A 16,382-nucleotide genomic window follows, 5' to 3' on the forward strand; every position below is an offset into this window, starting at 1 on the left:
CCTGGAAACAAACTCAGTTCTGTTGTAGGGGCATTGAGACCACTTTGCGGGCTGTGTGGGAACTGAATGAGGCCTGTCACTGCCGGCTTTCCCCTACTTCCCTAGCGACCTGTACGATGCAGCAGAAGCAGCCATAATCTCCCTGGGAACATAACTCCATCGGCCATGCCCCACAGGAGCTGCTGCAAGCCCTGTCCAAGTACAGTCTAAGCTCAGACGTGCCTAACCCTGCCCTCACCTGCTGGTCTTTCTCCACCCGCCCTGGTAAACATAATCTCTTGGAAGTTCTATGGCCCTGACCCACCACCTGAGAAACCTGAATACTTATCCAGGCGACCCTAGGGCAAGCTTGCATCCTCCCTATACTACCATAGCTGATGCTCTCTTGAAAGTGCCACCTCCAGGCTGGAGGCTGACCAACACTGTTCCAGCACACTAAACAAAACTACAACCAAGGACCCTCACAGAGTCCACTTCACTCCCCTGCTACCTCCACCAGAACAGGTGCTGGTACCCACGGCTGCGAGACCTGAAGATGGATCAAAAAATAATAGATGTTGGCATGGATGTGATGAAAAGGGAACACTTTTACACTGTTGGTGGGAATATAAACTAGTAAAACCACTATGGAAAACAGTGTGGAGATTCCTTAAAGAACTAAAAGTAAGTCTACCGATTGATCCAGCAATTCCACTCCTGGGCATCTACTCAGAGGAAAAGAAGTCATATGAAAAAGATACTTGCACACACATTTATAGCAGCACAGTTCACAATTGTGAAAATATGGAACCAGCCCAAGTGCCCATCCATCAACAAGTGGATTAAAAAAGTTATATATATATGTATATGTGTGTGTGTGTGTGTGTGTGTATATATATACACACACACACATACATATATATAACTTTTTAAATACACACACACACACACACACACACACACACACCTTGGAATACTACTAATCCATAAAACGAAATGAAGTAATGACATTTGTAGCAACCTGGATGGAGTTGGAGACCATCATTCTAAGTGAAGGTAACTCAGGAATGGAAAACCAAACATCATATGTTATCACTTATAAGTGGGAGCTAAGCTATGAAGGTGCAAAGGCATAAGAATGATACAATGGATTTTGAGGACTTGGGAAAGGGTGGGACGGGGTTGAGGGATAAAAGACTACACATTGAGTGTAGTGTACACTGCTCAGGTGATGAGTCCACCAAAATCTCAGAAATCACCATTAAAGAACTTATACATGTAACCAAACACCACCTGTTTTCCACAAACCTATTGAAATAAAGATAATACAAAATAAAAAATATTAAAAAAGAAAATTAACCCATCAGTTTCCTTCATTTGAAAATGGAGCAAGCTGGATAGACACCATTTTTGTTTTCAATTGTCTCTCAGGTATGTGCTTTCTAAAGATCTTTGATAATAAAAACTCACACTAAATTTCAGCCCCATTTCTCACCTGTATTATTAACGATTAACAGGCTGGTAAGAGGCGTCTTCGGGATTTGTTCCAGAGAAAGGAAATACATACTGGGTGAAAACTCCCAACAATGAGTTTCACGAGTTACTTTATACATTATCTTCTCTAGAATGATGGGGATAAAAGCAATTCCAAGTACTAGTAACCTAAGTAAAACAAAATTATAACATGAGTCTGAAGCAATTTTCCTCTGGTTATTTAAGTCACAAAGATGCTATATAAGTGCTAACTATGGAAAGTCCACATGCATATGTGGTGTTTAGTTAGATAAAATGAAACATACAGTGACAGTAATCTGAAAATCAGCACAAAAAAATTACATACTTTGTATCACATTGGAAGATATTCAAGGGTAACAGAGCATCAAGAGAAAAGGTGGAATCCAGGGGCAATCCTCTGCAGGTATGCTGGTTTACCAGGAAAACACAGGAAATGATTTTATGAGATAACAGGGGCCACAAATTGCCTGCTTGGGTACTTTTGATGAGAAAGAAGCCCTATTTTACACTGCAGCCTCAAGCTTGCTATGTGCACAATTGCAAGTAAAATTTTAACTTTCTTCAATTGTTAGTTTACAAATATTTTAATTTTCAGGAAACTAAATGCAATATTTAAAACACTATTTTTATATCCTAGAAGTCATCCCACCAACTCAAATTGCAAGTGAAATGCTTCCAAGCAATCTTTGTTTCTCTAATAAGCCATGAGTCCACTCTGCAATGACTACTTTCCCATCAGACTTCATACTCTACCTCCTTCTCCCTATCAGCCATATATTTCATAGAAAAAAAAAATGGAGTCTATAGGACAGAAACTCCTTCATCTTATCGCCGCCAAAAGAAAAGAAAACACATACACAGATTCAGTCATCCTCTCATTCTTTTATTCTGTTGAAGTAGATAATAGATCTTTGCTCCTAACAAAAAGATCAGTCCTTGTCAACATTGCGATGAATCCAAACTCTCCACCCTCCGTCTATCTCTCATTCATTATAAAATCAACTTTCTTCCCGACTTCACATTGCCTTTTAGCTTCTGCTCTTTCTACTCCGCTCCACAGTCAAGCACCGCAAAAGAGTTGTCTACTTTCAGACCTTCTCTTGCTAAAACCTTTAATAACTTCCCTTTTGCCAAATCCAATGGATGCTTTGTTTCTCAACTGTTATTAACCCTCCATATTTTCTAATCTTGGCTTAAACGTAACAATTTCAGTAAGACCAACACCAGCAAACCTATTTAGAATTGTAATGTACCTCCAACTCCTGTCATCCCTCCCTATCCCCTTTTCTACTCTAGTTTGTATAACCTGGCATATAAGTTATTTAGTTTTATATTCAGTATTTTTCATCTTTTCCACCCAACCAGATGTAAACACCATTAGAGTAGGGATCTGTGCCTTTTGTGTTCACTAATATAACCAAAGCTCCTAGAACAATGCCTAGTATACTATAACAGGCTTCAATAAAGATTTGTGATATAATGGAACAAGTTTAAAGGCCTTATCAATTTTGTTCACTACAGTAGTAAAACTGTGCCCCAAAGAGTTAAAGAAATCAATGACTAGCAGAAATTATTGAGTTTGTAGGGTGTCAGATTGAAAGAAGAAAAAAAAAAGAAACAATTTGCTGAAACACTGAAACTCCCTCAGCTTGTAAGATAATAAAACTGGCTGAAATCAGCTGAAACCAATATGGCCAATTACAGTCGGTCCAGAATCATCCTGCCGACTTCACAGCCTGAATTTCCACCATATATTTCATACCAACTGCGCTTGAATTTGCACAAGGGATACATGAGGAGGCATGAAGAGATATCTGTACATGCCTGAGGACTTTCCAGACCTCTCCTTTTCTTCTACCATGCTAATCCCAGGACCCACCCCCTAAACCTTTGCTAATAAAATTACTGCCTTAAAGTCAGCACAGGGAGACAGATTTGAGCTGGTCTCCTGTCTCCTTGTGAGTCAACTAGCAATAAAAACCTTTTCTTTCCTCAAAAATCCAGTGTCACAGTATTGGCTTCTAGCACATGAGGCAGTCAGGCCCTTTTCCTCAGTAACAGCAGGATAGGTAAACATACAAAAAAACTGTTAAATGAATGAATAAATTAATATATTTACTTTCTTAATATTTGAATGTTTTTTCATATACTGACCAAATAGATATAAAGTAATCTGATACTCACAAACACAAAAGAGCTCTCCTTTCACGCCTTAACTTTAAGAAGCGAAGTGTTGCCACTGCATAGATTTGTCGTCTCCAGAGAGCTGCACTACTGACAGCCTTTCTTGTTTCAGGAAGAGAACAAAGAACCTGTTCCATTTCAGACTCATCTCCAGTATTTCTTGTCACATGTATTTTCTCTTGTTTCCCAATGTCAAAATCTACAATCATGTAATAAAACATTTTAATAGGCTATGTTATCTGAACTTTCTCTTTAAAAACTTTGAAAATGATGTTAGACTATTTGAAACAGCACTTCCAACAAGTTAAGCTACTGATATCCATAATCAAAATTTACGTTAAAAATCTTTCCTTCAAACATATGTAATGGATTCAGTTCCAATGAGACAGTAAATTAATTTTTGAGGATGATTAAGGCTTCCTAACAAGCATTTATTCTTTCATACCAATAACAGTAGCTCTTCACTAATGGATACTTTTGCAGAGCAAGTTTTATGCAGAAGCACAAAGACAAATTTATGTAGCTGAGTTTCCAACAGGCCTCCTCTGTCATCTGGAATTTCCCCTACAGGATTAGTTCAACACTGATGATTGACATCTCAGTAACGAGTTCAAGACATTGTGCTTTCAAATGATGGAAAGTTCATGGAAAGGCCTCCTGTTTGAGTCCCACATATACCACACATTTACTGTATAATTTTGGCTAATCACACAACTTCAAATATCAGTTTTCTCATGGGCAGCTTGATGTTATTATGGGAATTTAAAACAATATAATTCAAGGACTGAGTACAATGGCTGGTATCTAGTAGCCTCCTAAATTCTTTTTTTTCTTTCCAATTTTTATTTTTGGTGCAGGCTTGCTACATGGGTAAACTGTGTGTCATTTAGGTGCAGGCTTGTTACATGAGTAAATTGCGTGTCATGGGGATTTGGGGGTTTGGTGTACAGACAATTTTGTCATCCAGGTAATCAGCATAATACCCACTAGGTCATTTTTCAATTCTCATCCTCCACACTTAAGTAGGCCCTGGTGTCTGTTGTTCTCTTCTTTGTATTCGTGTGTATTCAATGTTTACTTCTCACTTGTAAGTGAGAACATATGGTATTTGGTTTTCTGTTCCTGTGTTAATTTCTTTAGGATAATGGCTTCCAGCTTACTCCATGTTGCTGCAAAGGACATGATCTCATTCTTTATGGTTGCGTGGTATTACATAGTGTACATGTAACACCTTTTCTTTATCCAGTCCACCACTGATGGGCATCTAGGTTGATTCCATGTCTCTGCTATTGTGCATAGTGCTGCAATGAACGTATCTGTATATGTCTTTATGACAGAATGATTTATATACCTTTGGCTATATACTCAGTAATGGGATTGCTGGGTCAAATGATAGTTCTATTTAAAGTTCTTTGAGAAATCTCTAGACTGCTTTCTGCAGTGGCTGAACTAATTTACATTCCCACCAACAGGGCATAATCATTCCCTTTTCTCCACAACCTCATCAGCATCTGTTATTTTTTTACTTTTTAATAATAGCTATTTTGACTGGTGTGAGATGGTATCTCGTGGTTTTGATCTGCATTTCCCTATTCATTCATGATACAGAGCATTTTTGATATGCTTGTTGATTGCATGTATGTATTCTTTTGAGAAGTATCTGTTCATGTCCTTTGTCCATTTTTTAATGGGGTTGTTTTTGGCTTACTGATTTAAGCTCCTTATAGATTCTGGATATTATACCTTTGTTGGGTGCATAGTTTGCAAATATTTTCTCCCATTCTGTATGTTGTCTGTTTACTCTGTTGATAGTTTCTTTTGCTGTGCAGATGCTCTTTAGTTTAATTAGGTCTCACTTGTCAATTTTTCTTTTTGTTACAATTGCTTTTGGAGTCTTCATCATGAAGTCTTTGCCAGGACCAATGTCCAGAATGGTATTTTGTAGGTTTTCTTCTCAGGTTTTTATAGTCTTAGGTTTTACATTTAAGTATTTAATCCATCTTGAGTTTATTTTTGTATAGGGTGAAAGGTAGGGCTCTAGTTTCAATCTTCTGCCTGTGGCTAGCCAGTTATCCCAGCACCATTTATTGAATAGGGAGTCATTTCCCCATTGTTTGTTTTCACTGGCTTTGTTGAAGATCAGATGACTGTAGGTTTGTGGCTTTATTGCTGGGTTCTCTAACTTGTTCCGTTGGTCTATGTATAGTAGCCTCCTAAATTCTTCTAATTTTTATTACAAAGTAAACTAAGGAAATAACATCTTATTTTATTACTTCTTATTAATACATTAATTAGAATTAGTTTATTAGCTAATTAAGAGCACATTTTTATAAGGAATGGCAAGTAAGAGGCAATAGCAGAATTCATCGCTATAGCAGAGAGCTTTTGATAATAAGGAAGAAGTGGTCATTGCAAAGAGATGTGCCTGTCACTGACATGGGAAGCAGACAGATGTTGGAAAGCAATTTGCCTAGCACCAAGGCTGATTATACTCGATATAAAATGATTATAATACTGGACAATGCTAGTATTTTCTATCTAGTGGACAATGCTATTTTCTATCTAATGCATATTATAGGTAGAAATCCACATAAAAATCTACAAATATGAATTAGAACATCATCTTTTTCTCTTCTCTTTTTTTTCTTAATTTTCTGCTAGACACACATTTTTATACCTGGTTCATCAATTGCTGATTTTCCTTCTAGGTTCAAGAATACTTCATTCAGAGATGTCACTGAAACAGCATAATTCCTTATGCCCTGGTCAGAACACTTATCAAGGTCACTGTAAAGATCTAAAAAGCCAATAGTAATAAGTCAACGCAATTAAAATTATCAATGAGTATATTAAAATACTAATTTCTAAATATTACTCAAAATAGATGTCTACAAATGTTTTCATATTAAAGCAATCACAATAATCCAAGGAAACCTTTTCTGTAAGATATTCTCTTGTCATTCAAATCAGTTTTAATATTTTACATTTCCATTTTGTTTCATAAACTTTAAAATTCTTGTATCATTATTGCTGTGTGTGTTTGTATAAGCATGTATCTGTATGTCTATCTAAAAATTTATTAAGTTATACCTTATCCTTTGTATTTTCTAACTTTTCTATACTAACCATTTTATATATATAATAAAATTATTATAATTTTCAAAGACTCTATTGAACTGCTTACATATATTTTAAAAGATAAAGTCTCATTTCATCTGTATTTCTAACAGAAACTGCTATTTCAGAAAAGAGATATTTCAAAGTTTAATTTTGACAAAGAGTGCAAATCGGGGTTTCTATATTCATGGAAATTTTAGTTGCTATAATACGTCCCTGGTAACATAGATCATCATATTGGAAATAGGAACAGATTACTTATGAATAAATATTTTCATTTGTATAAGCTTTAGAACTCGATTCATAGAACAACAGAAAATGCAGTCAGCACAATCGTGAACACTTACATATATTCTATGTGATTACACAGTAAGTTACCTGGAAATTTGTTCGTTTTTTCCAAAGGCAAACTATATACAAGTTTTTCTTCACTTTCTGTTGTTAACTTGGCATCAGGAATGTGCTGCTTAATAAGGGATGTGATTTTTTCTGTGTCACACATTTCATTCCTGTGTAAACTATTATTTCAAAAGAGCCATAAGTCTCTTGAATTCTTTTCCAACACCACCACTCATGAAAAGATAGTTTTCTATTAAACAGCTTATATGTATTACAGGCATATTCTACTTAACTCTAGTAATTGGTTCCTGCAAATCAGATACTCCACTTCAAATTGCTAATTCAACTTCAAAGTGCTAATTGGTAGCCTATTTTGCATTATTTCAAATGGAAAAATTATAGTACATATCAACACCAATTCCTTTAAATGTAACTAAAGCACAGTGACATTTTAGCATACATACACACATACACAAACACACATACACACATGCAAATACATGTGTATAAAAGTTATTTTATGTGTGTGTATATATACATATATAAAACTATCATTATTGTGCTACATGTGTGATATACATAAAAAACAATCATGATAGGATATAAGATACATGAAACATTGCTTCTGAATAACTGGAAAATTCATAAGGTTTTTAATAAACAGTTGCTTTCTATGCATTAAGTGGTTTCTCTTAATGTCAACAACTTCTATTTGCAGAGCTTGTTTGTGAGTATTTGATGCTTTCTAAAATGTTCCCATGTGATATTCTGCCATTCTATCAATTAGATTTGGAATATAACTACAGAAATTTAGGCCAAATTGTTTTGCTAAAAGTAAACAATGGCTTATTGAGGACATAAAGATAATTTTTTTCTATACAAATATTGGCTTAAAAATGTCGTATAGGCCGGGCGCGGTGGCTCATGCCTGTAATCCCAGCACTTTGGGAGGCCAAGGCAGGCAGATCACGAGGTCAGGAGATCGAGGCCATCCTGGCCAACATGGTGAAACCCCATCTCTACTAAAAATACAAAAAATTAGCTGGGCATGGTGGCGCATGCCTGTAATCCCAGCTATTCGGGAGGCTGAGGCAGGAGAATCGCTTTAACCAGGGAGTTGGAGGTTGCAGCCACTGCACTCCAGCCTGGCAACAGAGCGAGACTGTGTCTTCAAAAAAACAAACAAACAAACAAACAAACAAAAAAGTTGTATTAAGAAGTATACTTTGTTTTTTAATTAGCATGCTTAAAACCAAGAGATAACCAAGAAAGGAAATGTTAATGAGGAAGACATTTTGAGCTGTTTATTGCAAAACAGTTTCTACCAGAAGTTAAGTTGCCTTTCTTATATTTCTAAAGGCTTCTACAAAATGTCACCCTCATATTAATATGCTCATTTAAAAATAACTACACCTAGAATACATACCTTAAATGATATCCAATACCCCACTTTCGCTTCAGAAACAAAGATGATCCTGCACATTTCAACTTCCCATTAGACAGAAATACTTTCCTATCTGAGTAGAAAGGAAGATTCAAAAAATTATGTGAAGAGTAATTCCTTATATGGTATATTCTCTACTTTGGATACTAAAACACTGAATGAAATTTGTAATATCAATACAACTGTAATATCATTAAGCCCCTGGGTGCAGTATCATTTCTAATCCCCATGCCTATTGTGAAACAGGCCTCAGAAATTCACTGCATTCCCCATAGCTAATCCAGTGCCTCAAAACTTTCCAAGGATGGCCTGATTCTTCACCTCTTCCTTTGTCCACATACTTTGCCATGTAACTTTGCAGGGTTACACCCCATGTGACCTGTTGTAGCCAATGGCATGTGGAGGCTTGAAATGGGCTTCTGCAAATAAACTGCAAACAAGATTTTCTTCTTTTGAAAACAGGCTATGAAAAATAACTCTCATGTTAAATCCTTAAATAACTAGTTGGAATAAAGAAGCCAAGAATCACCAGCCAAGATGTCAGCCTCATCCATGAATTGGGTACTGAAGAGGATAAGTCGGTCTACTTTATGCTCCTTCAGGAGGCTCCACACTCGGTGTCTTGAAAAGGGATCCAATCCAGCAGTTGGTTCATCTAGCAGCAAAACCTACAGAGGAGGAAACGTATGAAAGCATCTTCCTCTTCACAGTGAGGATCTTCAGAAAGCACCATGAAAACAAGTATGATTTCTAGACTCAAATACAGTCCTCCACCAGATCCCTAACAAGCTTGCATGGTACTTTATTATAAATTTTCCCTCACATTTGGTAATTACAGTAGAAGTTGGACTTTAATAATAGTTGTATATCCTTCAATCTAAATTAATTGTAAAAATATATTTTTTCTCTCACCTGAGGATCTCCTAAGATGGCAATCCCTAGTGTTAGTTTTCTCTTCTGCCCACCACTTAATTTTTTAGCAATAATGTCTTGAATGCTTTGCATGTCTAATTCCATTATAATTCTTTTTACCTATCAAAGAAAACTCTGTGTTAACAATATCAAATATTTTACTTTAAGGAGTTTTTACTCTCTAAAAATGAAAAGGATTTAGTCTAGAACTTCGTTGATTAAGCTTTACCTATCAAAGAGTAGAGTAATAGCTGAACAAAAAAAATATATAGTCAAAAGTAAATTATTTCCAAAGCCATCAATCTTAATGTGTTCCTGTACCTCTTGTTCCACTTCCTTTGGCTGAATCCCTTTTATTTTAGCAAATACCCTGAGGTTTTCTCTCACAGTGAGGAAGTCAAATTGAAAATTGAACTGTGGACAAAATCCAATATTCTTTCTAATTTCTTCCATGTCAGTTATTTCAGAGAGTTGAGTATTATAAATAGTGGCTGATCCTATAAATAGAAATTTAAAAGGCTTTACTGCCAGAATGTTAATTCTATGCAGAGTGATAATATATGTTAGTATTTAGATTTTGTTCAAAAAACTTGTTTTTATTAAAGAAACTTCACATTTTCCAATTGCATAATTAATACATTGAATAATTCAGATTACTGTTAACGTAAATATCTGTGTCCACAGCAATGCAAAATATACATGGAATGTCAAATAATAGTGGAATAGAGATACAAATGTTTTCATGAATTTATGTGCATATGAAATCAATATTTCCTGCTCTAAATTATTCAACTGTGTAACAAGTCCAATTTAGAGAAACATTTTTTACATAATCAAACCAATTTACAACTTGCTTTTTCAGCCAACTTACTTTATAAAACTGTTTTCTCACCTTCTGTAGAAACAGACAATCCACTAAGAATGTTTAGCAGTGTTGATTTACCAGCTCCATTATGCCCAAGTATTGCAGTGATCTGTCCTTCATATATGTCAAAAAATATGCCTGTTTTAGAATAAAAAGTGGAAATTAGATTTTGGATTATATGCAGATGGAATGGACCTTAAAATTGGAAAAGTAAAATATATCTCAGCATTTCATTTCATTGGTATTTTAATACATCCCCTATAAAATTATACATTTAATTGTATAAGTTATGTATTCCTGAAGACAAAGCTTCAATTTGGAGAAATTGGATCAAGACTGGGAATATAAATTTCTACCCTCTTGCTTCCTTCAAATCCTTTGAATGTCAAAGAATCTATACACTTAATATTAAATAATAAAACAAAGACTACTAGAAATAAAAACAAAACGTAGTTTATTTGCTTCCTAGGCAAAGGAAAGAAGTGTGGCTTAAGAAATTGTCTCCCTGAGGCTTGCAGAGCTGGAAACAGAAGGGCTGGGTATAGAGAAAAGGGGAAGAGTTTATTTCATATTCGGAGGGAGGTAGAACTGATAAAGAAAACATTGGTAAAGTATCTCCTGGTACTGGTCATCATTTTGCTTTATATCACAAAAGTGTGGGCATGATATTTAGAAATATCTGCTGGGATCTAAGACATGTCACAGGCATTTTCACATATATGTGCCTAAGGCTTGACAACTTTTTCTTTAATGTTTGAAAACTTAACTCCACCGGAAAATAAGAATTCAGTTAGCATGCTGGAAATTTTAAAAGATTCTCTGAAGACAGAAAACAGAGGGAATTAGATTGTCAGAGCGTCAAAAATCAGGCAAACCACAGGCCAAAATAGACGATGAAGAGTTCTATGAAAGTAAAACCAGTTTCACTAATACTTCGAGCTTAGTTTGATAAAGTCAGGTCAAAGATTATAAACCGGTATAAACAGTGTATTCCTATTGTTGAAAAAATATTTTATATATAAATGTATATATACAAAAAAGATAATATATTATTGGTAATTATCCCTCATGGCAGAAACATATTTTAATTTTTTTGTTTTCTCTTTATTCTCTAATTTTCCACAATAATGATATTTTCACATCACAGAAATGTTTTTGTGTTTTAATTTGAAGCATTATCAAACAATGAAGTTTTTCTTTTTTTTTTTTTTTTTTAGTATTTATTGATCATTCTTGGGTGTTTCTCAGAGAGGGGGATTTGGCAGGGTCATAGGACAATAGTGGAGGGAAGGTCAGCAGATAAACATGTGAACAAGGGTCTCCGGCTTTCCTAGGCAGAGGACCCTGCGGTCTTCCGCAGTGTTTGTGTCCCTGGGTACTTGAGATTAGGGAGTGGTGATGACTCTTAAGGAGCATGCTGCCTTCAAGCATCTGTTTAACAAAGCACATCTTGCACCGCCCTTAATCCATTTAACCCTGAGTGGACACAGCACATGTTTCAGAGAGCAAGGGGTTGGGGGTAAGGCCATAGATTAACCGCATCCCAAGGCAGAAGAATTTTTCTTAGTACAGAACAAAATGGAGTCTCCCATGTCTACTTCTTTCTACACAGACACAGCAACAATCTGATTTCTCTTTCCTTTCCCCACACTTCCCCCTCTTCCACTGGACAAAACCGCCATCATCATCATGGCCCGTTCTCAATGAGCTGCTGGGTACACCTCCCAGAGCGGGTGGCGGCTGGGCAGAGGGGCCCCCCACCTCCCAGACGGGGCGGCTGCCGGGCGGGGGCTGCCCCCCACCTCCCTCCCGGACTGGGCGGCTGGCCGGGCAGGGGCTGCCCCCCACCTCCTGGAGGGGGCGGCTGCCGGGCGGAGATGCTCCTCACTTCCCAGACGGGGTGGCTGCCGGGCAGAGGGGCTCCTCACTTCTCAGACGGGGCGGCCGGGCAGAGACGCTCCTCATCTCCCAGACAGGGTGGCGGTCGGGCAGAGACACTCCTCAGTTCCCAGACGGGGTCGCGGCCGGGCAGGGGCGCTCCTCACATCCCAGATGATGGGCGGCGGGGCAGAGGCGCTCCCCACATCTCAGACGATGGGCGGCGGGGCAGAGACGCTCCTCACTTCCTAGACGGGATGGTAGCCGGGAAGAGGCGCTCCTCACTTCCCAGACTGGGAGGCCGGGCAGAGGGGCTCCTCACATCCCAGACGATGGGCAGCCAGGCAGAGACGCTCCTCGCTTCCCAGATGGGGTGGCGGCCGGGCAGAGGCTGCAATCTCGGCACTTTGGGAGGCCAAGGCAGGCGGCTGGGAGGTGGAGGTTGTAGCGAGCCAAGATCACGCCACTGCACTCCAGCCTGGGCAACACTGAGCACTGAGTGAGCGAGACTCCGTCTGCAATCCCAGCACCTCGCGAGGCTGAGGCTAGCAGATCACTCGCGGTTAGGAGCTGGAGACCAGCCCGGCCAACACGGCAAAACCCCGTCTCCACCAAAAAAATACGAAAACCAGTCAGGCGTGGCAGCACGCGCCTGCAATCCCAGGCACTCGGCAGGCACTCGGCAGGAGAATCAGGCAGGGAGGTTGCAGTGAGCCGAGATGGCGGCACTACAGTCCAGCCTCCGCTTGGCATCAGAGGGAGACCGTGGACAGAGGGAGGGGGAGGGGGAGAGGGAGAGGGAGAGGGAGAGGGAGTTTTTCTTTTTACCTTGCAATGCTTCTACTTTTCCAGTCTTTCCATTATATTCTTTTATAACATTTCTGATTCTGAAAGAAGATGAAGTAATTTTCATGTAAATGCATTTTCTAGTATTAATAACACAGATTACAGTTCATAACTAAGCCTGAACTTCACAGTAAAGGGTATCACTCTCAGTGGGATGTAAGGAGGGCAGTAATAAAAGCCCTCCCCTGACCACTCCCAAAAGAGATTTACACAGACCTGCTAATACTCTTATCAAACTTGGCATTTCATATATTCCAGCTATTTCTCTAAGTTATCAAATAAATAAGGGAAAGCTAAAATTGAAAAAAAAAAGAAGGAAAGAAGGAAGGGAGCGAAAGAAAAAAGGGAGAGAGGCTTTCCCTCAATCCTGAATCCCTCTCAATCATTATCTTTCACAGGCAAATTTGTCAAAATAATAATCTTTACTCCCTATTTCCATTGCTTTATCCCACATTTATTTCCCAACCTAAGACAACATAGCTTCTCACTATACTACTCCACAAAAAACTATTCCCAATGAAATTCACCAATGACCATTCTAGTTACCAAATCTAATGAACACTTTTTAGTCCTTATTTGATATACTTCATCACTGTTTTAAACTATTACTCACTCTTTTGTTTTCTTAAGTCTCTAACTCCCTGGCTTCTACACTTTGGTTCCACATCTTCCTCTTACTATTCCGTTTTGGCGTACTTTATGGACTCCTTAAATTGGATTTTATACTTGGCCAACTATTTTTCTTATTCTCAAACCTTTGCCATACAATCTTACCCACTCTCATGGCTTCAACTCCTACCTAAATTCTAATGATTCCCAAATTTGTGTTTTAGAGATTTCTTCAAAGTTTCAGATATTCTGCTTTTTACTATATATCTACACTTGGATATCAAACTGAACGCATTATATTTTCCTCTAAACTGGCCCACTTCCATTCTCTATCTCAGTTAGAATTTCTACTATCTACCCAGGAACTCAAGCTAAGAGCCTGAGAGGCATCCTTAACTCTCTCTCTCTCCCTTTTTCACCCCATCCTGTGACCTACAAAATTATTACAATTTAACTTCAAGAATTTATGAATTTAACTTTATAAATCTATTTGAATTTATCTCTTTACTACTTTTCTTGTGCCTTCTTGCCCAGGCTCTTGTCATCTTTCACCTCAACCAGGGCTATGACCTCTGTGCTTTATTTTTAATTGTCCCTTGTCTATCAGCAACAGTCTCTTTCCTTCTGCAATGCGGAGGACATATCAGAGACTACATTTCACGGAACCCTCTTTTCAGTATCAGATTTTGCTAATGAGAAGAACTTGGGCAAGATTTGGAGAGCAGAAATGAAGCAAGGTCATTATTCTCGGGTCACGTGAGCCAAGCATATACGCAGGCTCGAGGTTTGCAGCAGCTTCTCAGACTTCTTGACAAGGACTGCTTTGCTACTGCAGATTGAGATAACTGGTGAGAGATTTCCCAGAAAATCCCTGACATTTGCAGCAGTATACTGACAAACTTCTTGAAAAACACCCATTTCTGTGCATCAGGCTAAGGTCCTCAGTGGCTATTTCCTGACTTTCTGGTTGTAACTTAACCTTCTCTCCTCTAACTCTTGTACATTTGTGAATCCCTAATCCCTGTATTAAACTCCTTTACTCCCACAATATTTCCAGCAACTCACTTTTCCTGACCAGACCTAGACTGGTAAAATATCGTAAATATTTCCATTTCTCCAGTTGTGTCACCCTCAAATCCATTCTTCATAAAGCTGCCAAAGTGATCTATCAAAGTTCTGGTTACCTAATTTGCCTCCTTAAAATCATTCAGTGATTCCCCACACTATACAGGATAGCCTAATCTCCTTACCTTGGCAAGCAAAATCTTCCATGATCAGATTTGGTGCCTACCTCTTAAAGTTAACCTCTCTCTTTTCTTGTACTTTAAGGTCAGAAATGTTAGTTCCTTGTGTTCCCTATACATACACACTGTGTCTTGCTCTACTAGGTGGCTTATGCCATATCCCCTGTGTGGAAGGACCTTCACATACCCCACCATACTTTATATGACCAAGACCTTTCTCTTTCATAAGACTCACCTTAAGAGTCACCTCCTTTTGACTTTCCCCACTACACTACACTAGGTTGGATGATCCTTCTTTATTTCTTTTAATTCTCTGTGTTCAGCTCTACTACTTATCAGTTATCTATTTTAGTATCTATTTCCTTAGACTCTGTACTTCCTGAGGTTAAAGACTATCATTAATCTCTGTATCCTAATTCTAGCAGAGGGACTGATTAATGATGAATAAGTTAAAAAAGTAATTAATTTGTCAATAGGAACAGTCTGGTCCAGAATGATCAAAGAGTTCCTGGTTTCAGGCATGTTAGGCCACTTCCTATAGGATGTTCCCTCTATCTCTAGGTACATATAGAGGGAATATCAAGGTGGATGACACTGTATGCAGGTTTAGACAGGCTAGAACTGTCACAATTATCTGAGAGTACACTCAATTCATATTAATGTCATAAGGGCAAATTAGACCCAAGACCACTGAATAGGATGACTAGCATCAACCACTTAGGAGACCTAAATAACCGCTCTTCATACCATACAACAACACCCATCTCCATTGTTCACTGGATTAATATGGATCAAACTCATGATCCTGGGCATTTATTGAACCATGTCCTAAAAGACGAGCTTTCGGCCTGACAAAAGAGGAAATAATATAATTTAGTCCTAATTTAATTTGTTATGTGCAACAATACTAAATTTTCTGTTGTCAACGTAATTTCTATAAGAATTAATACCAAAGAAAGTGATAAACTATAGCTACAGAATAGCTATAAAAGTTTTCATGCAGGAGATAGGACTTGAAAGACTACTAAAAATTATAGAATTTGAGAAATTTCCTCAACTCCAGGGAATAGAGAACTTTCACCTTGATCTTTTCATATTAGGTTATAGTATTCTCCTTTTCCTGTTGTCTCCTTCCTCATTTCCCACTGCTCCCAGATAATTTCACCAATCACCTTTTACGTATCTGTTTCAAAATAACGTGAACTGAGATAGGTCTAACTGATTTAGTATATTTGGGATATTCCTAACAGCTAATATTTATTGAACACCTAGCAATAGGCCATGTAAAAGCTTTACATGTGATAGCTCATTGACTCTTTATGACAAATTGTGTATTATTGTTATGCTCATTTTTAAGATGAAGAAACTGAGGCATAGGAGGTTAATACTTTAGCTGAAATTAATAAGGGGCAAAGCCAGGATTCAAACCAGTTGGTTTAAACCTACAGAC

The 16,382-nt window shown here is 37.9% G+C and overlaps 1 protein-coding gene across 2 annotated transcripts in view; it reads right to left on the reverse strand.

The window, feature by feature from the left end:
• ABCA10 (ATP binding cassette subfamily A member 10) overlaps nt 1–16,382 on the reverse strand; it is a 96,842-nt gene that overhangs the window by 35,996 nt on the left and 44,464 nt on the right. For both annotated transcript variants that reach the window (NM_080282.4, NM_001377321.1), the window contains 10 exons: nt 13,062–13,120; nt 10,383–10,493; nt 9,812–9,987; nt 9,491–9,610; nt 9,108–9,246; nt 8,561–8,651; nt 7,174–7,313; nt 6,356–6,475; nt 3,679–3,877; nt 1,475–1,641 (listed from right to left, as the gene is read on the reverse strand). In NM_080282.4, coding sequence (NP_525021.3) covers nt 1,475–1,641; nt 3,679–3,877; nt 6,356–6,475; nt 7,174–7,313; nt 8,561–8,651; nt 9,108–9,246; nt 9,491–9,610; nt 9,812–9,987; nt 10,383–10,493; nt 13,062–13,120 — 1,322 coding nt within the window. The remainder of the gene's footprint in view (nt 1–1,474; nt 1,642–3,678; nt 3,878–6,355; nt 6,476–7,173; nt 7,314–8,560; nt 8,652–9,107; nt 9,247–9,490; nt 9,611–9,811; nt 9,988–10,382; nt 10,494–13,061; nt 13,121–16,382) is intronic.

Source organism: Homo sapiens, chromosome 17 (assembly GCF_000001405.40).
Source record: "Homo sapiens chromosome 17, GRCh38.p14 Primary Assembly".
NCBI lineage: Eukaryota > Metazoa > Chordata > Mammalia > Primates > Hominidae > Homo > Homo sapiens.